The 22,595-nt window shown below is 51.2% G+C and overlaps 1 protein-coding gene across 14 annotated transcripts in view, besides 2 other annotated features; it reads right to left on the reverse strand.

Moving 5' to 3' along the window:
• The window catches only part of TMEM9 (transmembrane protein 9), a 36,787-nt gene that overhangs the window by 1,531 nt on the left and 12,661 nt on the right, over positions 1-22,595 (reverse strand). The window contains exons 1-6 of one of the 14 annotated variants that reach the window (NR_109920.2): positions 18,143-18,172; positions 17,556-17,657; positions 15,459-15,550; positions 10,438-10,546; positions 8,807-9,033; positions 7,518-7,649 (exon numbers count right to left, since the gene is read on the reverse strand). Coding sequence is in view for 12 of the 14 variants with exons in the window: in NM_001288571.2 (NP_001275500.1) it covers positions 7,518-7,649; positions 10,438-10,546; positions 15,459-15,550; positions 17,481-17,621 (474 nt within the window). In the remaining 2 variants the exon portion in view is untranslated. Of the gene's footprint in view, positions 1-7,517; positions 7,650-8,806; positions 9,034-10,437; positions 10,547-15,458; positions 15,551-17,480; positions 18,173-22,595 lie in introns of those variants that run through there. The other 13 variants (NM_001288569.2, NM_016456.5, NM_001288570.2 and 10 more) reach the window with 13 other exon arrangements.
• Positions 17,409-17,558: an enhancer, noted in NCBI's record as "active region_2309". NCBI's record gives its function as "activates an Ori minimal core promoter by ATAC-STARR-seq in GM12878 lymphoblastoid cells {active_cell/tissue: GM12878}" and the evidence as "EXISTENCE:reporter gene assay evidence [ECO:0000049][PMID:35858748]".
• Positions 17,969-18,248: a silencer, noted in NCBI's record as "silent region_1687". NCBI's record gives its function as "represses an Ori minimal core promoter by ATAC-STARR-seq in GM12878 lymphoblastoid cells {active_cell/tissue: GM12878}" and the evidence as "EXISTENCE:reporter gene assay evidence [ECO:0000049][PMID:35858748]".

A 22,595-nucleotide genomic window follows, 5' to 3' on the forward strand; every position in this document is an offset into this window, starting at 1 on the left:
GCTAGAGAACTCCCCTGCCCTCCACGCCATTGCCCAGGGGACAGGAAGAAGGCCCAGGGGCTAGGGTCTGGCTACCCTGAGATGGCAACACATCTGCTCCAGATGGGAGGGGGCCTACTGAGGAGTCTGCATAGATCCAGATCCATGGGATCTTAGTTTCCCTGGGAAAGAGGGATGTGACATCACTCAGGGAGTCTGACAGGGATGGAAATTCAGAGCCGCCCCAGCATTCCCTTTGCAGAGCCCTCTCTGGCCCATTCCCTCCTTTGATAGCTGAGGACAGCTCAGCTTCCTCCCTATCTGACTCTGCTGATCCCCTTCCCCTTTGCTTTCAGAACTGTTGCTGCCGTCAAAAGCATCCTCCCCTAATTACCACTTCTCTGCCTCTGAAGCTCCGGAGCCTCTGCATTTCCTGCAGGACCTGAACCTGATCTTTGGAGAGAATTAGAGCTGAGGGCCAGGCCCACACCCCCGTGGGGATTTCCTCCCTAGCTTTCCCTGCCTCTCATCTCCTGCCACACATCTCTTAAGGGATTAGTGCACTTCTCTAAGCCCAGAGCCGCCCAGTAAATGCAACTTTGCTTCTAATGCCCCAAGCTGGCACGGCTTCTGTCACCATGCAGCTGCTACGCTGGGGCGAAGGGGGGTGGTGAGGTGAGGGTAGGGTGGACAGAGAACAAGCTGGCAGTGAGGAGGCTGGGAGAGGGTTCATCATCATCCTCTCAGAGCTCTGAGGACTTCATCTTGTGAGTGCTCCTCTCTAAGCTGCGTTAGAGATGGACACTGCCTTCTGGGAGCCTCCCGCCCAGGTCCTGAGGAAGGCTTCCTGTGCCAGGCTAGGTGAGGCTCAGGCAACGCCTGAAAGGCACGTGTGGCCATGTCAGGCAGGGGGCATACTGAGCTTGGAATTAGGACCCCTGGGTTCTGTTCCTGGGCTGGGGATCACCTGCCCCTTCCAGCCTCAGCCTCCCCTAGGCTCGCGTCCCAGGTGGAACTACAGATCCACAGCGGGGGCTGGGAAGGAGACATGGCCTCAGTCACTTATGAGGCTATGTGTCCCTGAACAAGTTACTTTATTTCTCCAAGCTTCAATTTAATGTAGTAAATGTAGTCATTGAGACTTTTTTCTGCTATACGGTCATTAGGAATTATAGTTACCAAATTATCTAACACACACACACACACACACACACACACACACACACACACACACAGAGTGAAAAGAAGTTTCATAAAACAATACTTAGTGTAATGCATTCTGATATTCTTTGCTCTGTTCCATTCCATTTTTTTAAAAATCCTGGTCATGACTCACAGAATTCATTTCATGACCTAATGGCTTGCTTGAAATACACTGGTTTAAGATTAGTAGATGGGTATGGCAAAGTTAAATAACACACATATAAAGCACTTACTATCCTGGCTGTCACAGAGCTAGGGCTCAAGAAATGTTTGGTTTCTTTCTTCCCTAGGAGCGATGACTAATATCAGAGCCTAGCTCTGGAAGCCACTAGGCAGTAAGGCTGGCGGCTGGCTGCCAGGAGAAAGCCTGTGAAAACTGCCATGGCTGCTGCCCCTCCTTCCAGTTCCATGCCTTCCCTGTTCACTGTGCTGACTGAGCTGGCCACAGTGCTAAGACCAAGCCTCCACCCAGTCCTGCCTCAGTGTGGCCGTCTACATGAGGTGGGCACTAAAGACCCATCTGGGAAGCTATTGGCCCACCGGGACTTGGCTCTGGGGGCTGGATTGCCTTCTCTTCTTCTTTCCATTCCCAATCTCATCCTTTCTGGGACCATCTTTCTCATGACAGGGCTCCAGTGTGTGTGTGGGGTGGGGTGCTACGCTTGGAAGGGTGGGGCAGCTTTAGCCCTGCCCTCCTTCCACTGCTCTGTATCTCAGGGGAGCGTCTTGAGAAGGGGAAGCCAGGGAGAGCCCAGAGCACAGCATTAAGGGAACATGCTGAAATTCACCACATTACCACAGTATCATTTGTTTTCCCTTCATGTAAAGTCTTAACAAACAGCTCCTAAGTGGGGGAAAGCTGCCACTGAGAGGCTGAGTTTCCATCGCTAATAGTCTGATTAAAAGGTATTAAAGACTCCACATCTGTTTCAGAGACAGCCCAGAGTGGGGCCTCATCCTTGCTTGCTCTGCAGCAAGTATGGTGGGTGGAAGTGGGAGAAATGCCACCAGTTCCTCCCCTCTCCCTCTGAGGCTGGGCCTCCGGTTAACTCGGGAGCAGAAGGGCAGTTAGGAGGGGAGGCGGGTGGAGCCCCTCCCAATCAGAAAAAGAGCTTGGACATGGATGGATTCCCAGGAGGTCCCCAGGGGGACCAGACCAGTGTGACTATGACAAGTGCCACTATGTGCCAGGCGCTCTGCTAGGCACTTTACACAGATTATTCCCAGGCTTACAACACTGGCAAATGGGTAAAACCATCCCCTATTGTAGCTGCAGAAACTGAGGCTCTGAAAGATGAATCATCTTGCTGCCCAAGGCTGCATGGCTGTTTAGTGGCCAAGTCGGAATTTGAACCCATGTACGTATATCTCTTATCCTAGGACCCAGCTGGATCCTTCTTTGGCTGGTTTCTCCTAAGAGGGAGCCAGCATGGACAACCAAAGAGACAGGCTGGTATATTTCCCCACAGCTAGAGCAAGAACAGAGCACTTCTAAAGGAACCAATGCTCAGGACATCAAGCGAGGCCCTCTTCTCCACACTGGAAGGACCCAAGTAACTGTGTGGATAAGCCCCAGCTGATCAAACTAGCCCTGAGCCCTTCAGGCCGTCCCAGATGAAACCCTCTTCAGTCTGCCCAGAAGCACTGGTTCTGAGCTGGCACTGGACTTGGCCAAAGCCTGATGACAAGGAGACAGGGAGAGTGAGAACCCCACCTCAGGCGGCTCTCCTCTCTCTGGCTGCTCCTCCTCCCTCCTCCCCAATCCCAGGCACAGGAGCATGACCAGGTGGTCTCATCACTTACCAGCCACTCAGCAAAGCATGGTCCTAGTGCAAAGCCCTTCAGCAAGAGGACTATACAGCCTCTCTGAGTTTTCCATGTTTGACCCAAGTCCTTGCTGCTGTTGCTGAGTCCCACTGCACCTCTGCTGCGAGGCTCTCCCTGACCCCTGCACGCTGCGGCTAGGGCCACCTTCCTATGACACACCAACTCATGCTGTTTCCCTGCCCAAAAACCCCAGCTGGGACCCACCTGCTCACAAATAAAACCCTGCTGGGCCTGACATTCAAGGGCACTCCCAGCCTCACCTCCCCCCTTACCCCCCAGCCCAGCCTCTGGCCACACTGGTCCATGCATCCTCTGTCTACCTGCGGTGATCCTCACTCAGGCCCTTGTGCACGCTGCCCCTCAGGCTTCCCTCCAGCAATCATGATGCTACTTAAGTATTAACACCTGATTGAAATAGCGCATTCTTAAGGACGAGCAAACACTTGTAAAGCTTCCATACACACGATCGCAACAGTTATGCTGAGGTAAACATGATTATGTGTATTCCAGACTTAGAAAACTAAACCAGGAGGTTAGCACCAAGGATAGTAAATGGCAGGGCTCGGCCCCTCCCAGGACTGTGATTAACCACAATGCTGTGCTGCCCCACTGGAGGCTCTAGAAGCGTCTGTTGAACCGCACATCTTTCTATTCTGCCCTCAGGGGAGGAGGCCGACTGGATTGCCCTCATCAGTGTGTCTGTTCCGTGTTTCACTGTCAGCTTCCCAGGGCTGGGGTCCTCAGAACACAGCTGCCACCCATGTGCAGACAGGAGGGGAGACTGCTCCTCAGTGGCCCGAGTCTTCTCCCCGGTGCCTGCATGTTCCAGTTCCCATCATCATCATCACCTTTCCTTGATTTCCCTGTATACTCTCTCCCAAAGGGGGCCCAGAACTCTACCCACTGCCCCAGCAGGGTGAGCACTTTGAAGACCTCTCCAGAGCTTGGGCCCATGCTGTGAGCAGCGACATCCCCAGCCTCAGAGAAACCATGTGTCTCTCTTCAAAGAGGGCCCAACCTGCACATCTAAAACAGCTCTGTTTGCCGTTTCTGCCCCAGCAAACATGCTTGCTTCCTCCTTTCAAAGGACGTCTGAGCCCAGGGATTATGCCTAATGCTGCTGGAATCCCAGGGGAGGCAGCGCCCAGCAATCAGGGCCTACTGAGGCTCTGCCAGCGCTTTCAAAGGGAACATGACAAGCTTTCATCTCCCTCCATGAACGGGGCTGAGGCTGAGGGGGAGGCCTCCTCTTCCTCTTCCAGTTCTTTACCCCCTGGGCAGGAGAGCTCCTGGTCACAGGAATTGGGGAGAAGGAACCAAGGGGTCCCTAACCCTGAAAAAATGCCCTGACCTCCAGATCTCACCCCTAACTGGGTCCCAGACTTCTGGGGCGTAGGGCCTGAAAGCTCCTGGAGCCTAGACAGAATTTTCCTTCTAAAGTCATCGAGTTGTACAGGCCTAGGCGAACTTTCAAGGAACCCAAGAGGCCATGTCCTGACTTTGTTCCTCTTGGGGTGAAACCCAGAGACATGGCTACAGCCTAGGTGCTGCTGCCGCTCAGCTGAATGCCTGCCCCCCAGCCCCATGTTTCCCCACATCCCTTTCCTCTGTGCACTGAGAGGGGCAGTAGATTATCCCTCGTCGTCCAGGACTAGGGCCCCCAGTCTCTGTAAAGACAAGCTCCTTGGGTTCTGTCCAGCCCCAATGCCCTGTTCATCCTCCCTGCAGTTCAGCGGTCACTCTCCCAACCACCCTGAGTGGGCACTGAAAATCCCCCTCTGCCAGGAAGCCTTCCTTCCCAGACTAACACAACGAGAAGGGTAACTTTCCGACCCCTTGTCTAGTAAAGAGGGGCCTCCCAAGGCACCTGACTTTTCAGCTGACCACCCGTCTTACGAAGCCAGATCTTACTGCCAGCCTTTACGTTTCCTGCTGCTTTACCTGCTTTTGGCCGTCTTGGGGCTTAAACCCCCGAGGGCAGACATAAGGTCTGTGCAAATCTCAACACTGTGCCACCTGCAGGTTTTCTGAATACACTGAGAAAAGCAGAGTTGCTGAACCACAGACATCTGTGACCTGGAGACCACACAGAATCACAGGAGGTGAGGGGATAGAGAGATGATGCCAAAGAACGGGACTGGGGGCACTTCCTTACCCAGCCAAGGGCACCCAATGAGATCTACCTGCCCCAGGCCACAACCAGCGAGAGTTGGCTGCACCCTAGGTCAGGGTATCAAAGAGATTAAACACAACTTTTTATGAGCTTTTAGAACCTCAGGTGAGAGGTGAGGGCGTGTCATCCTGTCCATCCCAGGGCCGCAACTTCCCCTACAGGAGGGAGCATGGCTCGCCAGCTTCTATGTGCTGCAGCCTATCACAGCCTACTGTCCTCCCAGGCAGTCCTGCCACAGTTACCAAATCTAGCCCTTCTTCCTCCCAAGGCCCCCTCATACAAACAGGCTTCAAATGAGGAGCACTCCAGGTCTCCTGGGGGTAAGAGAGACCTGGGTTCATACCCAGGGACGGCAAGCTGCTCTCCCCAAGCTGCCCTCCCTCTGGCTCCCTGGCTAGGATGGCAGGAGACATAACAAGGCCATGCCCCAGAGCCATGCATTCCACGGAAATCATTGGGCTGCATCTCTCAATTACTACCCCAGCCAGGACTGCAATTACCACATTACCCCTAATCGCTGAGTGTTTATTAGCGATGCTCCTCCCCTATCAGAGCTGCTATTACTCTACATTAATAACCAGGTAGGCACACGAGGTTTCCTCTTGAACACAGACCACCCAACTGCCAGTGCCACCACCTCCCAGGCCCTAGCTCCAATGGGGCGAGGCTCATCCCCTCTGCTCCACCTTCGGCCAAACTCATGTCAGCAGGAGGCTGGGGGCAAACTGGGAGCAGTCCAGGCATGTGCGCAGGGTGGGGCAACACAGCCCTCGAGAGCAGCCAGGCTCCCTCCCTGATCTGCCCTTCTCTTCGCTGTTCATGCTGGCCCAGACCCACATCACCCAGGCAGCTTCACACTTAGACTTGAGCCCCTGGGTCCTCTTTTTGGTGAGGAACTGGCTCATGGTCTTGCAAGGGAGCCCAGCCCACCTACCCCATAGTTAGACCACGCTGTCTACAGGAAGACTCCCAGCCTCCTCCTCATATTGTGTTAAATCTCTCTGTCCCTGGATGAAGCCAAGCTGTCTTCTACAAACTTCTGAAGGCAGCTATCATGCGTCTCCTTTAGTTGTTTTTCTTTTCCTTTAAGCTAAATGACTCTCAGTTTCTTCAACTAATTCTCTGAGGCCTAGCTGAGGCGCTTCCCGACTAGATATTCCTTATGCATACGCATGAGTTCACTCAGGGCATCCCTCCATCAGTCAATAAACAGGAGTATCTTCCAGCAGCAAGGCCCTGGGGACAGAGCTCAGAGTGGAAGCAGCAGCCAACCCCGCCTGCCTTGGCTCCACGCCTCTAAGCAGCCCGCTCTGCTGTCTCATGCACCCAGCTAGCTGGTACATGAGCGCATAAAGGGGGAGCCCGAGGCACACGGGGCTGTGCAGTCCTCACTCAGGCAAGATTCCCCTAGACCACCTGGGGAGTGCAGGGCTCATCACAACTCTGCTCAGCATGGAGGTACACCACGTCTCACTCCCACGAAGAGCCCTTCACCTGAGCCCTCCTGTCCCCCCGGGTTTCCTCGCCATGGTGTCCACAACTTTTTAGTATGAGGATGAATGGGAAGACGGTGACAGCGCTTGTTAACTGCACTGGGCCTGGTCCAAGCCCTGCCAGCTCCCCACCATTGCATGAACTCCTGGAGGCCTTGCAGGCTGTCTGGGGTCAGTGGTTCCCCACTTTCCTTGTCAGATAAAGCCAAACCCCCTTAGCTTGACATTTGGGACTTTTAATAATGTGACCTAAATCTACTGGCCAGCTCTCTTTGCCACTATTCAAACATCTCTACCCTATCCTTGCAACGCTCAAAATTCCTCACACATACTTGGCAATGTCCCCTGCCCGGCACCACTGTCTCATTCCTCTTCCGCTCTTGAAATCCTACATTTCTCCCCAGACCCTGGAGCTCTGGTTTGCATTGAGCAAGTGTTCAACAGATGTTTGTGGAATCACTGGACAAACAAATTAACCTGCTGCCGTCCAGTCCACCAGCAGCTTGTCACCAATGTCTGAGCACACGGGGGATATCATGTGTATCTATGTGTGACTGGCTCTGGCTGGCTGCGCCCCCTCTGCCTGGAAGCACAGTACAGCAGGATGACATGGCTCCCCCGGCTTGTACATGGAGACTGCTTGATGCCCGGTGTCCTGCTTCATCTGGAAGGGCAAAGAGCAGGTCCCTGCTGAGTCTGGGTGATGTGTACGACACTGACCAGAAGAGCAACTTGAAGCATTTTGGGGAGGTGGGACCTGGACCTAGGTGACGCTCCTCTGGGTTTTGCCCTGGGGACGCACATGCAGGGACCCAGGGCCTGGGCACTCAAAGCCCTCTTACCTCATTCTCCTCCTCATTGTGCAGTTGCTCAGTATATGCATCCGGCTTTCGGATCAGAGGGTCCACCAGCATCAGGAAGGCCATGTAGAGCAACAGGGCACCCACCACGGACAGGTAGATGACAATGATGACCTGAGGAAGAGACCGGCGTGCCTATGAACCATTATCTGAGGCCAGGGCTAGAAATCCGTTGCTAGTCTTGGGCCATCTGTGTCCGGCTGGCAGTGACTCCTCAAGTGGTGCACTAAGAAAGGACTTGGAGGCAACGTGGGCTCAGAGGGAAAGCATGCCCAGAAAGGAAAGGGAGGGCCCTACTCCACAGAGGAAGCACTCTGTCCTAACTTGAGGGAGTCTGCACAGCAGGCATCACGACAGCAGGCAGATGACAGAGGAAGAAGTCTGGAGCCTGATGCCGAGAGGCTCCCGGGGTAGAGATGGGAACACAAGGGCCTCCCTGGCTGTAGAAGAGTTCATGATGAAGGGTGGAAAGCAATCAGAAACTAAGAGCAAGGAAGAACAGGCTGTGGAGAGGCTGGAAAGCTGGGGCCAGGAAAAGTAAACCTGGGCTGGTGGGCTCATTGCTCCTGTGGAGAGCAAGACGGATGGGGCGCGCTGGCCCACTCATGGCATGCCCCTGAGCAGAGTGGCTAGGGCTGGTAAGAAGGTGTGTGCTGGGGGTGAAGGTCACGCCTGCCCTCCCATCAGCCCCTCTGCAGGGAGGGGAAAGCCAAGGGTAGAACAACAACTCCACGAATCTCTTACATACACAGTGCTTCACAAGCTGGAGTCATTTTGTTTTTACAGAAAAGACAGATTTAATGAGGCAAATTCAATGTTTCTCAATGTGGGTGCTCTGGGATTTTGGGTGGGACATTTAGCATCCATGGTCCCTGTAACAGTGTTGGTAATACACCTGTTATTGGGACCACAAAAGCACCTTCACCCACCTCTAAATGCCCCCTGGGGGGGCTGTAATCATCTGATTGAGAACTGCTGGGCTAGATCACCTGTGATCCCAAGGCTACCAGATGGTGGAGGTGTGACTCAAACCCAGACTTGCTGACTCCCTCTCAAATGCTTTTCCTAATTCCACAATGCCTGGCCATTGCCGGCTTCTGATCTCAGCCCTGCCCTACCTAGACTGTGAAGAAGAGTGAAAAAAAGAACCTCAGGACTTTCAAGCTGGGTGCCCCGCTCAGCCAATAGCCAAGTTCCACTGGACCAATGTCCCACCTGATTGGGGCACCGCGTTCACGCCTGTTTAAACAGGGCAAATAATCAGACCTCACCTGTACCCCAGGAAGGCGGAAGGAGAACAGAGGCTGGGTCTTCAATAGGCTGAAGTTGAGGGGAGCCTCCTAGGTAGGAGGACTGGGGGAAACACGAGGGATTAGGAAGTTGTATCTGATGAGGTCCCCATGCCAGGAAGTTCCCTCCCGGCCAAACAGGGAGCAGCGGTGACATCTGGCTCTGAATTTCAGGTCTCAGGCATCTGGTCCCTGGAGGGTGAGGCCCACTGGAGCAAGTTCAGAGAAGGAGAATGACAGTTGCAGGAGGGGCTGCCTCAGGTGGATGAAAGGAGTTGGGTCTGCACAGGGCACTGGCTGGGAGTGAAGGACAGACAGCTGCTTTTTCCCTGAGTGGTGAGAACACAGAGGAGCTACAGCACAGGGCTCCCTGGAATAGGCAGGAAGGACAGCAGTGAAGACCACCGCCCCCTAAATGTGCCTCGAAAGGAGAAACCTGATGGAGGACCCAGCAGTGCCTTTAAATATGAGAATTATTTTCCAATGCTATTTATAGACTCTTCAAAGGACAAGCAGAAAAATGCTACAAACTGGAACAGAAAGGGCTACATTAGGCCAGGCATGGAGCTCACACCTATAATCCCAGCACTTCGGGAAGCCAAGGCTGGAGCAGTGCTTGAGGCCAGGAGTTCGAGACAAGCCTGGGCAAGACAGTGAGACCCTGTCTCTACCAAAAATTTAAAAAATTAGCTGGGTGTGGTGATGTGCACCTGTGGTCCTAGCTAATCAGGAGGCTGAGGTGGGAGGGTTGCATGGGCCTGGGAGGTCAGAGCTGCAGTGAGCTGTGATCGTGCCACTGGACTACAGCATAGGCAACAGAGTCAGACCCAGTCTCTAAAAAACAAACAAAAAAAGAAATGGCTATGTAATCAGTGAGTACTGTGTGTGCCAGGTGCCTGGCCCAGGATTGTTAGAACCTGGACTAGGAAGCCGCACTGGGGGGCTGGGGGTCATGACGGTCTCTGCTAGGGCGGCTTCACAGCCTCTAGAAGACACGGGAAGTTCTGCCTGGTGCAGGAATGAACAGACACCTCGTGACGTCTATGGTGGTGACTGTGTCTATCATCTCTTTCCTGAATTCACCCAAATGATCAATGAGAAGGTGGTTCAGGAAAACACAAAAGAACCAATCTGATGTTCTCCCAGCACCCAACACCCAGCCCTAGTCCACAGCTCTGATGCTTTTTAGAGGAGCTTAGTCACTTTGGAAGCTTAATTAGACTAAGCTCCAGGAGGGCAGCCCAACCTCCCCATTGGCAGCATCTTGCCCAGAATATAGCAGGCACCGAAAAGAGATTTACTGGATGAATAGAAGAAGGGAGAGGAACGAAATAAACTGTAAAGAATGCAGGGAAAAAGGAGTCTCCAGCAGCTCTCCCAGGGCTCTCCCCTCTCACTGTAATGGTAACTACTGGAAAGAGAGCAGAGAAGGGAGCTGGCTCCAGGAAGGTGTGGGATGTGGGTCCCAGTGTCTGCACTAGGCCAGCCTAGAAGCCAGTCTCATAGCCATTGGGACATTCCAGAATAAAGTGAAAAACTGTGGGTGTAGGCCAGTCTGCGATTGGAGAATGGCGTGTGGGAATCCCACTGGCTTCCTGAGACCCTGGCGTTACCTTGATGGTGGTGGTGCTGCGCTCCTCGTACCTGCACTCGCACAGCAGGCAGTAGGCCTCCACGTCATGGCCAGGCACTGGCATGGGCTCCACCACGTGCAGGCAGTTGCTACAACAGAGAGAGACAGGGCTGTCGAGGCAGGGCCACCACGTCTTAGAGCCTCAAGACCAGAGAAGCAGGTAGCCAGGGGAGCTGAGAGGTAGGGGCTAGGCAAAGGTGAAGGGTGCTCCCAGAGAGGGCCAAGGGCTTATAAAGGATTAGGCTGGCAGAAACCCTTCCTAACCCACAGCCTCACAGCCCATGCCCCTTACACATCAAAACCAGCTCTCCAAACTGCCTACAGGGCTGGCTCCAAAACCATCAACGTTCCCAGGGTTCTACCCCCAGCCGCCTTCCTCATCTCATGCTATGTTCTCCCGGCATGTGCTCATCTGTCCCAAAGGTTCAACTCAGAAGCTGACGGATCTTAGATCAGAATCTCCAGCCAGGGCCGCTCTCCTCTATGAGCTACAGGAGTCACTATGTGCATGTCCCATAGAGACCATGAACTCTACACCCGCCCCTGCACACCCTTTGCCCTCAACTCCCTACTCCTGCAAACTGGCTCCCCATTTGCAATGGCAGAGAGAACACTTCTACCGTCCACTTCACTGTCCGGGTCAAACCCTGGAAATCATCTTTGACACTGCCTTCCTCTCATCTAAGTAAAATCACCAAAGGCCAGTGATTTTACTTCCCTAAAAATTCCTAGAATCCATCTCCTTTATTCTCTCCCACTGCTGTGTCTTAGCTGAGGCCCTCATCCTATCTTCCTCGGACAACCGCACCAGCCTCCGCGCTGCCCTCCTGCCTCGAGTTTGGCCTTTCTAACACATACTACCTTCCCACGGCAGCCAAGTGGTTTTCCAGAATGCAACTCTGGTCATGTCATTCCCCAGCTTAGGCCCGGTCAGTGCCTCCACAGAGCCCCTAGGGCCAATGCTAACTCAATTGCTCTGCCAGGGGTCCCAACCCACCTCACTCCAGTTCCATCTCTTGCTACGCCTCCCTCACCCACTTTCCCAACCTCCAGCCACACGGATCTGCCAGGCTGCTCTCTGAAGGAGCCACACCCACACTCTCACCAGGAGGGCATGGCTTTGCCACCTCATCTTTTAACTCTCAGCTTAGCCACCTGTGCCCAATAGCCAGCTCCCCCCAACCCCCCGCCAATGCACTGCATTGTAATCCAATCTTTATTCGTGCTGTCTCCCCAGGAGATGTACGTTCCTTGAACACAGGGTTATGTCTTATACATCTCCATATTCCCAGTACCTAGCTGGGTGCTGGCCAGAGCAGGCTTAGTAACTACATGATTCCCAAAGGAAGAGTAGACCCACTTTCATCTAACAGCACTCTTGCGTAAGGTGGGATAAAGATCATAGGTTCCACATCTAAAAACAGGGAAAGAGGCTTAGGAGGCAAAGTGGCATCTCCATAGTGGTAGTGAGGCCAGAACCCAAATCTAGACCCTCAGCCACAGGTCTTTACTTCTGACTCAGCCTCAGTGGGGCCTGGGCTGGTACCTGGCTTGTCTCAGGCCTCTCATTCCCAGCCTTCCTCAGATCAGCATGGTTCCAACCTGTTTGGTTCAGGGACCACACTGACAAAGCAAAAAACTCTACAGAATGCACCTTCATTACTACCAATGGAAAAATCCAAACCCCTTGGAGGTGTGCAGAGGTGAAGCAGGTGTCATGCTGCAATGCACCTGGGCTCTGTCCTGGCTCTGCCACCAAGTGTCTATACCCTGGGCCCGTTCTCTTCTCTTTGAGATAAAGCGGTTGCACCGGATAATCTTTAAAAGGCCCTTCCAGCTCTGACAGGAGTCCTGCAAGAGTCAAGCATAGCTCCCTTCTGAGCTACAGGGCTGGGTTTCTGGCAGAAGCATCAAGGGTGTGTGATATAAAGACCATGTGTTGGATTAAGAATGGGATGTGCTCTAAAGGACTCTGTTCTCCCAAAAAGCCATATGTGGCATACATGAGTTTATCTAAACCTTTCATGATCCAGTTCCACCTCTGTGTCCAACATGTTATTCCCTGCTCTGAGCAGGTCTCCCCTGTTGTAACCGGAAGTACTGCTTTCAGGCCTTGCATGCTGCTTCCGCTGGGAGCAGCGGAAAAAGGGTCACCCAGGGCACTTGGCTGCCATTCCTGTCCAGAGGCAATGCCATCTTCCCTTCTCCAGGAAGTCTCTACAAGCCTCCAGATTCCTCCCTTACCTGAGCTACACTGGGTCCTGGGTCTAGAAGGTCATACCAGTATTGCAGTGGAATCTATGGATTTCTCACAAGGCCAAGGTGTCAGGGGCAGTTTGGAAGGGCGACCTGAGTTCTTCAATGTGGGATCTTGCTACCCAGGGGAACAGCAATAAGGAGCTGAAATAGTTCTGCTGTCTCCAACTCTCCTGTGATTGGGGGCAATTTATTTAACTTCTCCAGGCCTCGGTTCCCTCATTTATAAATGGAGACTGAACTTGGTCAGTGTCTTTCAAACTGTACTCTTTTGGGACCCACAGGAACCACTGTACGGTGGGGTGGTAGTCAGGGAGGGGCTGAGGGACAGTTCCCTCTCAGGCAGAGCAATTCCGACTTTTATGTTTTATAGATTTTGTTTCCAAAACGGATTTTGTTTGCAGAGAAGTTCTATTTTAACAAGTTTGAAAGGCAAGGAACTAGCCAACTTATTCAGTGCTTTCCTGCTCTGGGAGTGTCTCTAATAACACATCTCCTTGCCGGACCCACCAATGGGGCAAAGCTGGGGTTTTTGCCTTTTTATGCACATATGGTCATAATCTCTCAACACTAGGTGGCAGGATACCTGTAAACACAGGAACATACATGGCTTGGCCATTAAACCTGAGGACCGCATGTCAGATGATTCTGGCTTTACTCTGCACAACCAAGGAGAAGGGTGCAAGTGTTCTTTAGCATGGACCAACGTGACAGCAAAGTGAAAATGTGGCAGAGACCAGAAGACCCACTCAAACTGGCCTCCTCTAACCCTAGCACTGAGGTACTCAGATCAATGTCAAGGCCCCACCCTACCCTTAAGAGGCTCCAGGCAAGCACAGGATGACTCCCAGTCAAGGTCAGTGTCACTGGGTCCTAGAATCCTGGAGTCTTTCCTCCAGCCTCAGTTTACACCCACCACCCTTAATGGAGCTGCCCTGAGGTTCCTGATGTAAGGCTATTCATCAAGCAGCCCCTTAATTCTGACTTCTGAGGGGAAGAAGGAGATAAACTACAGCCTGAGAGGTCTAGACAGGACTCCGTCCTCTGCAGGCATCCAACCTTGGGTTTTCAGGCCATCTATAGCTCCAGGACAGAGAGAGTGTTCCTAAATTTGCAAGTGTCTGCCTGCATAAGGAGTTTGGGATATAGCCTTGTTATCTGGTGAAGGGCTAAGACAGCCCATCTAAGTTTTTACTGATGCTATTTGAACTATAACCACAAGATACAAGGGGGTTACTTGGAATTCTCCTAAGTAGAAGGCTAGTGCTTCAGGAGGAGCCCATTTTCTCAGTCTGTGGTGTAAGTTTGACCATGACTATCTATGTGGCCACCAGTAAGGCATGATAATATACATTAATATCAGCTAACATTTATATAAGCATTTACTGTGTGCCAGGTATTGTTCTAAGTGCTATAGTTACTGACCTGTGCACATACACGCACAACACACACACAAACACGTACATACTTAACACAGAAAATACTGCCACTATTTATAGATAAGGAAATCAAAGTGCAGTGGAGATTAAGTAATTTGTCACACAATTAACAAGCAGCTAAGCTAAATTTGAAGTCAGGAAGGTGGAACACAGAGTCTGTCTATCTAACTAGACTGCCTCTCAGAAAATCACCGACAGTCTCAGAGTTGGAAATTCAACTAGTTTCAAAATTCTCGAGTGTTGCTCTGGATCAACTGCATCCTAAGCACCAAAGGAAAGAAAGGTTACTGCCTCCCCTCACCCTCACTCCGTATTTGAAGAATCAAAATCGAGCAGTGGTGGTGGTACTGGAAATGTGTATTTTCTCAAAGCTCATCTGCTTTGAGAAAGCAGGAGAGGCAGCACTGACCCGGACCTCTCATCTGATGTTGATCTCTTCTACAGTGACCTCAGCCCATCTGTGCTCGGGGCCCTCCAAGAACGGAGCTTCCTGGCTCCCAAAACTGCCTAGATTAGAAATGCTCCCTCAACTCATGCTTAAGTCGGTTTCCCTGAAGCTTTTATCCTTGGCCCCAACTCTACACCAAGAAACCCCACTGAACATAACTGATCCACACCAGTACCTGCTCCCACATGTCCCACCTCCCATAACATGCCAGCTTTCAATCAATCATCGTGTGTCCCCAAGTCCTCTCCTCTTTAGGCTTTCCTTGCTTCCTTAAACCATTCCTTCCAGGACAATGTGCTAAAACTTCCCTTCACCGCACTAGTCTCCTTTCTCTGAATGAATTCTGGGTTATTCTTCTCTTTTTAAAAGTGAGGTACCCAGAAATGAATTCAACACTCTAAATTATTTCTTTGGGCCTCTGTCTCTGCTATTATAAAATGGGAGCAAAATCCATCCCACCTACTTTACAAGGATGCTATAAGACTGGCACAGAATAACACATGTAACACAGCTTTGCAAAAGCATTAGGTATCCTACAGCATGTGGTCAGAATACCTACCTTTGCCAACTTCTCTACTACTATTCTGTATGCATCACTAAAGACCAATATTCAAAGCAAAACAACAAAATCCACTCCTCTAGCCAGGGACCACTCAGCTGGAATTCAGACACCTGGATCCTGTTTCCACAGACAGTTGACAACTATGAAATTGGTTCTGTGACATGAATAATTACTCCTTTGAAAGGCTCTCCATAGGAATGGGAGAGCATGCTTATCCTCCAGGGTCCAAGAACTCTAGTAAACACCCATAACTTCAACTGGGTATAGCAGCCAGGGGCCTGCGTGTAATGCCTTACCAGTCCTTCTGGGATACATTCTGGTTGTAAATGTGCCCACTGATGTTTCTATAAGGTGGACAGATGCATTTGCACCGGATATCTTCAGAACTCTGGAAAAGAAAGCACATGTCAAGTATGCAGAGACCCTGCCTGGGGTTCAGGGGGTTCAGGCTCTAGCAAGGTTGTCAACTTTCTGTTCCCCATCCTGTTAGGTGAACCATATCTATGCTCTTGAGCTTTCTCCATCCCCAAGTTCAAATCCAGCAAGGACTGCCACTGTAGGAAGCAAGCTGCAGCACCGGGTCCTAAAGATAGAAAAATGTCCAGATGGCAAATGAGACTCACAGAAAGTTGTCTAGGCCTGCCAGTCCCAAAGCAGGTACTTAGAGGAATGCGGGGAGAGGGATGAGGGGAAATGGGTGTGTGTGTGTGTGTGTGTGTGTGTCCTCTACCCCAGACCCCACACTTGTGTGTGCACCTCTGTCCAGTGGACTTGGCAGCCACCCTCTTCCCCACATTCCTTCTCCAACTTCTTAGGTAGGATTGGGGAAACATAAAGGGCGAGGGTGAATAAGAAAAAGTGGATCATTTCTGTGGGAATACTCAAGCAACCCCTTTGAAAGTTCTTCCCTTCTGGAATGAGTAAGAGATATCACCATAAATGTCTTTACTAATTAGGATTTCTGAGGAGAGAATGGAAACAAACTCTCAGCCTTAACCTTACTTCAAAGTCTGGATGATCTTTAGTTCCATAGATCTACCCAAACAGCTCCACAGGAATGTAGCAATAAAGAATGGAAGTTATCTCAGGAGTCCCAGAACTTAGGTGGGTCACCCTTAATAATGGAAACTTCAAACTGTATAGGACTTTACACTTACAGGGCATTTTTACATTGTCATGTAATTTGATTCTCCCTAAGCAGAGTAATAGATACAACTGCTACTACAGGTGGTAGTACTAGCACCCCTAAAACAAAAATTCGAAATGCTCCCAATCTAAAACTTGTTAAGCACAGACATGACCACAAAGATGATGTTAACATTGCAGAAAAGCACCTACAGACATGGTAACAATGAGTGACGGGCTTCTTGAAAGACTATAGCAGAGCGCATTCATAACAGAACAAGAAATCGTGTCAGTCTATAAAATCAAAGAGACTTCTAAGACAAAAGCTTGTTAATGAATCAGGTGACTGGCAAAAACATTTTTAAAAGCCATCTGGCAGAATGCCTCCTCATCTCTAGAGGACCCACTTTCTGGTCCCTCTACTGCTTCAGATACTACTTCTCACCTAAAAAAATACTGTGCACAGTAACCTTTAATCAAAACACAGCATCACAGCAGGAGACAGAAAGCCTTATGTTGCTGTGTCTAACAGCTGATACAGGTATTCTGGTGATGCTACTGTGCTTAGTTACCCTGAACACATCATTTATTTTCACTGTGTTAATAGTACATCATATTTTTTTACCGTTAAGAACTTATGTGTAACGTAAGAAAATATTTATCGGTAGCATATAAATTCATTGTCAGGAATGGTGGTGATGCCAACCAACCAGACTATCCACATGGGTGCCTGAGATAGTGACGCCTTTGCTTTCTGATGGTTCAGTGTAGATAAACTTTGTTTCATGCACACAATTATTGAAAATATTGTATAAAATTACCTTCGGGCTATGTATATACAGCATATATGAAACATAAACGAACTTCAGGTTTAGACTTAGGTCCCCTCCCCAAGATAGCTCATTTTTTATGTGCAAATACTCCCAAATCCAAAAATATCTGAAACAAAACATACTTTGGTCCAAAGCAAAGGAAGGTATGGAGAACTTAGATAACTTCTCCAAACTTCCTTGCTGGAAGTCCACCACTGATCTGTCTGATCAGAGTGAGCCAGTGCTCTGTGCCCCACCCTTCCTCACTCCTCACCCGCACTATCCTTAGGGAGGCCAGCAGCCTTGAACCTGAAGGAAGACCACTAAAAGAAGTATGGCCCATAGGTGAGTGAGAGGCAGGCTTAAGGAGCAGCTGGCTACCTCTGAGTCAGCCCTGTAGACAGGGTGGCCGTGCACTGTGGTCGTGACCAGGTGCTGCAGGCTCACCTCCCTCACCTTGTTGGCTTCAGCTGGGGGCACCAGCAAACACCCGACCACAGCCACCAAAGATAAGAGCTTCATGCTTATCAGGCTTGCTGGGCCAGCAAAGCCGGACACCTGGAAAAAGAGATACGGAGTCGGAGAAGGGGAAGGTGGCCACACCGCAGCCAGCACGCTAGGCCCTTAACCATCCGGCCAAGTGGGAATGGGGTTGGGGGCTGGGCTCCAGGATTCCAAGGCCTGCTAAACCTGGTCGCCAAACCCTGCTTCCCTCCCGCCCAACTCTCCGGCTCTCCGCCAGCCACCTGGTGAGCCCGGCAGAGGGGTCCTCGAGGGGACACCGCTGCCAGGGGCCTCCAGTTCCTTCTCAAGGCCCGGCTCTGACCCGCGCATCACGTCCCACCGCCCTCCGCCATCTCCGCCTCTGCCCGCCCCGCAGCTCCTCCCCGCTCGGGCCCGACGGGAACTTTTGGGTGCGAGTCTGGGACCCCTGCTCCGACGGCGAAGGCCGGTGCCCACCACGCCCAGAGGTCTTAAGCCGGACTGGGACCCCCAATAGCCCCGCGACCCCCGTCCCCTCCCCCAATGCCGCGTCCACGAACCTACAAGCCCGCTGCAGCCGCAAAAGACCCAGTTGTCCCCGCCCTCTCCTAGCTTCTATTGGTTGCCAGAGCAGCCCCTTAACCCGACCGCGCTGTCGCCATGGCAACAAGACCCGCCTTCACCTGGGCGGGGAGACTCTTGCGCAAGGGAGAGGCGGGCATTTCTCAAACCCGACCAAACCAGAAAAGGGAACGTCAGCCTTCCAAACTCCTGGGGAAGGGTCTTGCCTTTGTGTGGCCTGAGAACTCCCACTGCGGTGCTTCTCCCTTCCTTGTATTATAAAACTCAGCTTGTTTCATCTTGCTGTTTTAGAAAGAAAGCGCTTTATACACTGTAAGCTAGTAACGTCAACAAAAACGATACGAGATTGAAGGGCTTTGTCCTCATTCAAAATCTGGAAATGTTATTTAGGGATCCACGTCTTTGCTGCAGAAGACTTTCTGCGCGGCAACGTCTCTACCCCTACACACACCTCTGAGAAGGAGAAATCTAGGGTTGGCGATGGGTGGTGTGGGCTGGGCCTGTGAAGAGTGTGCACAACAGCGTCCTCAGCCTGATCCCCCTACCCCATGCTGGTGCTGGGCCTGGCAAAATGGGGCAAAGTGTGCATGGCCAGGATGCAGGGGTGAGGGTCCCTGGCTGCTATGTGGCAGATGTGAACTTCTTGCCAGCTGTGAAGGAAAGGGGAGTCATATGAATTCAGGGCACCAGACCCGGAGTGAGGACACCGGGGCTTTGGCCCTGGCGCTCCCCCTAAGCAGCTGTGTTAGCCTGGAAAAGATACCTCCCTTCTCTGGGCCTCAGCTTCCCTTACTTCCCTTATCTGTAAAATGATTCGGTTGGATTCTAAGATCCCCTTCAGCTTTGATATGTTGGGATTCCTTAGGGGTGGGTGGGAGGGGTATCAATATGGCCCAAACTTGAGGTTGGTGGCTGGATTAGCATAGGGGCTGGGTCCAGGTGGAATCAAGCCCCTCGCAGGCCCTGTGAACTGAGGTGGGCACTTATCTGGAGGCCACTGAGTTTGTGTTCCTCTCTCCTATGCTTATGTCTTATTCCTCTTTATATCCTTGCCACCTGGCAGAGTGACCTGTGTTTGGTAGGTGCTCAGGAAGTGTTTGCTAAACTGAATTCTATAGAATTAAATTAAATCTAGTTGGCAGGGGGCAGGGGCAGGAGGCCTGCAGTGTGATGCAAAGGTCAGGGGCTTTGGAGCTAGAGTGACCAGGGCAGGAATCCTGGTTCCTCCCTTCCTAGTTGTGTGAATTTGGGTGGTTTCCTTTAGGACACCGCCTTTGGATCTTTGGAAGTCTTTGGAATCCTTTCAGAAGTCTCGGTTTCCATGCCCATAAAATGGGATTAATATTACCAAATTTTCAAGGTGGTTGTAGGGATATAATGAGTTTACATATGCAAAGCACCTAGAACAGCATCTGACACAAAGAGGGAGGCTCTATAAATGGCAATGTTAGCTCATTGTGGAGGTCAGAATGGCTGCTTTGGTGAGCAAGCTCAGGCAGAGACAGAATGCCTACCTCGTGGGGGCAGAAGGGATAGTTCAAGTACTGGAAAAAGACACTTCTTCCCCCCATATACGTTCCATATGAAGGTGGGACTTTCATGGGGACAAAAGCATGGGGCTGAGTCTGTCACCTCCAATGGATGACCCTCTGACACACAACACTAAAGATACCCAATGCTGAGCTCACCATCTTCCTCATCAAACAGAAGGGAGGCCTTCCACTGTCATTCTGCATTTCTGCAGGTCCTAGATTGTGGCATCAAACTATCTTTGACTCCTCTCTCATATTTCCACATCTTGTCTATCCAGGTGTCCCCAGGAGGTAGCTATCATCACCCTGCCTGTATCTTTCCTCGGCTAGCATTCTGCTCCCTGAAATGCACTCCCTTCCTGTGTGCTCCTAGGTCCATCCTGTCTTCCTCCAATTCTGTTTTCAGCACATCGCTCATTGCTCAATCCCTGGTAGCAAGCACCCTGTTGCATCCAATTCAGACCCCTCCACTTGGCAACCAAGCCAAGTGGTTACCATTTCTGCACTTCCCCACCCCATCTCATCACTGGTTACTCCCCCCACCGGCTGTCCCTATATCTGACTTTGCTCATTGCAGTCCTCCATAGGACATTATCACCCCCAGCACTGCCAGTCGTTATCTTTCATCTTATTCAAATCTTTGCCCAAGCATTTGCCTTGCAGAAGCTTTTCCCAAATAGTCCTACCTGACCCAGGGCACCTCATTCCCATACATCCTCCATGTGCCCTGTGTTTATGAGCCATGCCAGTGAAGTGAGTCTGAACCTATTCATTAAATTTAATTCCATAAACATGTGCCAAGCACTATCTGTGAGCCAAACTCCAGGGCTCACAGATGCTAGGTACCCCAGGGATACAACAGACAAATCACATGCAACTCTGCTTTCAAGTAATGCACAACCTAATAGCAGACCAATCACATGGTCAGAATGTAACATAGAAAGTGATGTGTTGTAGAAGTGAAGCAGCCTTGTTGTCTGTGGTGACACTTGAGGTTTGTTGTCTCCTGGCCATGAAGATCAAGGAGGTAGACACACAAAGAGTGAGGTTAAGAGTGGAAATTTAATAGGTGAAAGAAAGACAATAGCTCTCTGCTACAGAGAGGGGTCCTGGAAAAATGAGTTGCCAATTTAAGGTGAAATGCAGGGGGTTTTATAGATGAGCTAGTGGGGAGGCAGTATCTCATCTATACAGGGCATCTCAAAAAAAGTTAGCACCAGGTGTGCCATCTGCATAGGGCACAAATCTCTGGCAGCTCCCAGCCCAATCTTTATTATGCAGGTGGTTTCTCTGCCTGAGCTTCTCCATGTTGCCCAGTTCTTTCTTACTGTACATGTGCTAACAAAAAAGGGAAGGTGGAGTCCCATGGTGAACATGCCTGGCCCCCCGGTAGCCCTTTTCTATGAGTGCAGCTGCCAGCATTCCTCCGTGCAAGCTTCCAGCTTCCTTATATATGTTTGCAGCCCAATCTTTGAGGCTGCTCTGTGTTAGAAAAGAAATGATTTCTAGGGCTGCTTCTTATTAGAAGGGAAGTTCTGCCAAGGACTTTTTTGTCCTTGCTATCTGCCTAAATAATTTCTATCTCCCGTATCAGAAATGCTTTTTCCCTTCAAAAATTTTTTGAGCACTGTGCTAGGTGCTGGGGATATCTCAGTAAACAAGACAAACCCTGTCCCTGTTCCCACAGAACTTGAAGTTTATTGCAAGAAAACCACAAATCAACAAGCAATGACAATTCAGGGTGGTAAGAGCTGTGCTGGGGGAAGGCTGCAGAGGCACTTGGGAAACCTAGACCAAGGGCCAGGGGAGCCCAGAATGGTGGAGAGGGGGCTTTGAGGGCAGTGAGGGCTACTTGGGCTGGGCCAGAGTGGTGGGCAGAACAATGTCGCACCCCCAAATGTCCACATCCTAATCCCTGGAACTTGTGAATACTGTCTTACACAGTAAAAGGCACTTTGCAAATATAAATTAAGGCCCTTGGTTGGGGAGAGTGGCTTGGATTATTCAGGTGGGCCCAATCTAATTAGATGGCTCCTTAACAGAGGAACCTTTTCTGGCTGTGGTTAGAGAAGGAGATGGACATGGAAGTAGGGTCAGAGAGATGCTATGCTGCTGGCTTCAAAGATGCAGGCAGGGGGCCACCAGGCAAGGACTGTGGGTGCTGCAGAAGCTGGTCAAGGCCAGCCAATGCATTCTTCCCTAGAGCTTCTAGAAGGAATGCAGCCCTGTAGACACCCTGATTTTAGTTCAAGAGAACACCTCCGTCAGACTTATGGCCTACAGAGCTGTCAGATAATACATTCGTGTTGTTTGAAGCCACCAGGTTTATGGTAATTTGTGACAGCAGCCATGGGAAACAAATACTGCCAGGAAGGGTGGGCAAAATTTGAGGCACAATTCAAGAGCAGGGTGATGGTGAGGAGGGCATTCTGGTGGGGGGTGGGGGCGGGGGCAGGGGCAGTGTAGGGAGAGCAAAGAGATGGGACTGGGGAAGTTCAGGGAGAGACATGTAGAGAAAGAGTCAACAGTTCAGTTTGTCTTGATCCCAGGACAAGCGAATGGGAAAGGAAGGCAGGGAGCTCAGTGACATCAGAGTCAGAATGTGAGCCAGGAGGGAGCCGGGAGCCCCTGGCTCGGGGCTCAGTGAGAGGGTGGAGACCAGGTAACATCAGCAGTGCACTCTCCCCAGCAGAGGAGGCCTAAGGAAGCTCTGGAGCCTTCCACTGCTTCCTCTCAGGACTTAGCCTTCATCCTGCCTCCAAGTTTGGAGCTCTAGAACTCAGGCCAAAACCCATACCCTCTAGTTCATACCTGCTTTTATCCAACAACCCTAAAATCAGTTTGACTTTATGAGGCGAGGTCTTGGCATCCGTGCCACAGCTGTGGGTCTGGGTTCTTC

Source organism: Homo sapiens, chromosome 1 (assembly GCF_000001405.40).
Source record: "Homo sapiens chromosome 1, GRCh38.p14 Primary Assembly".
Classification (NCBI taxonomy): Eukaryota; Metazoa; Chordata; class Mammalia; order Primates; family Hominidae; genus Homo; species Homo sapiens.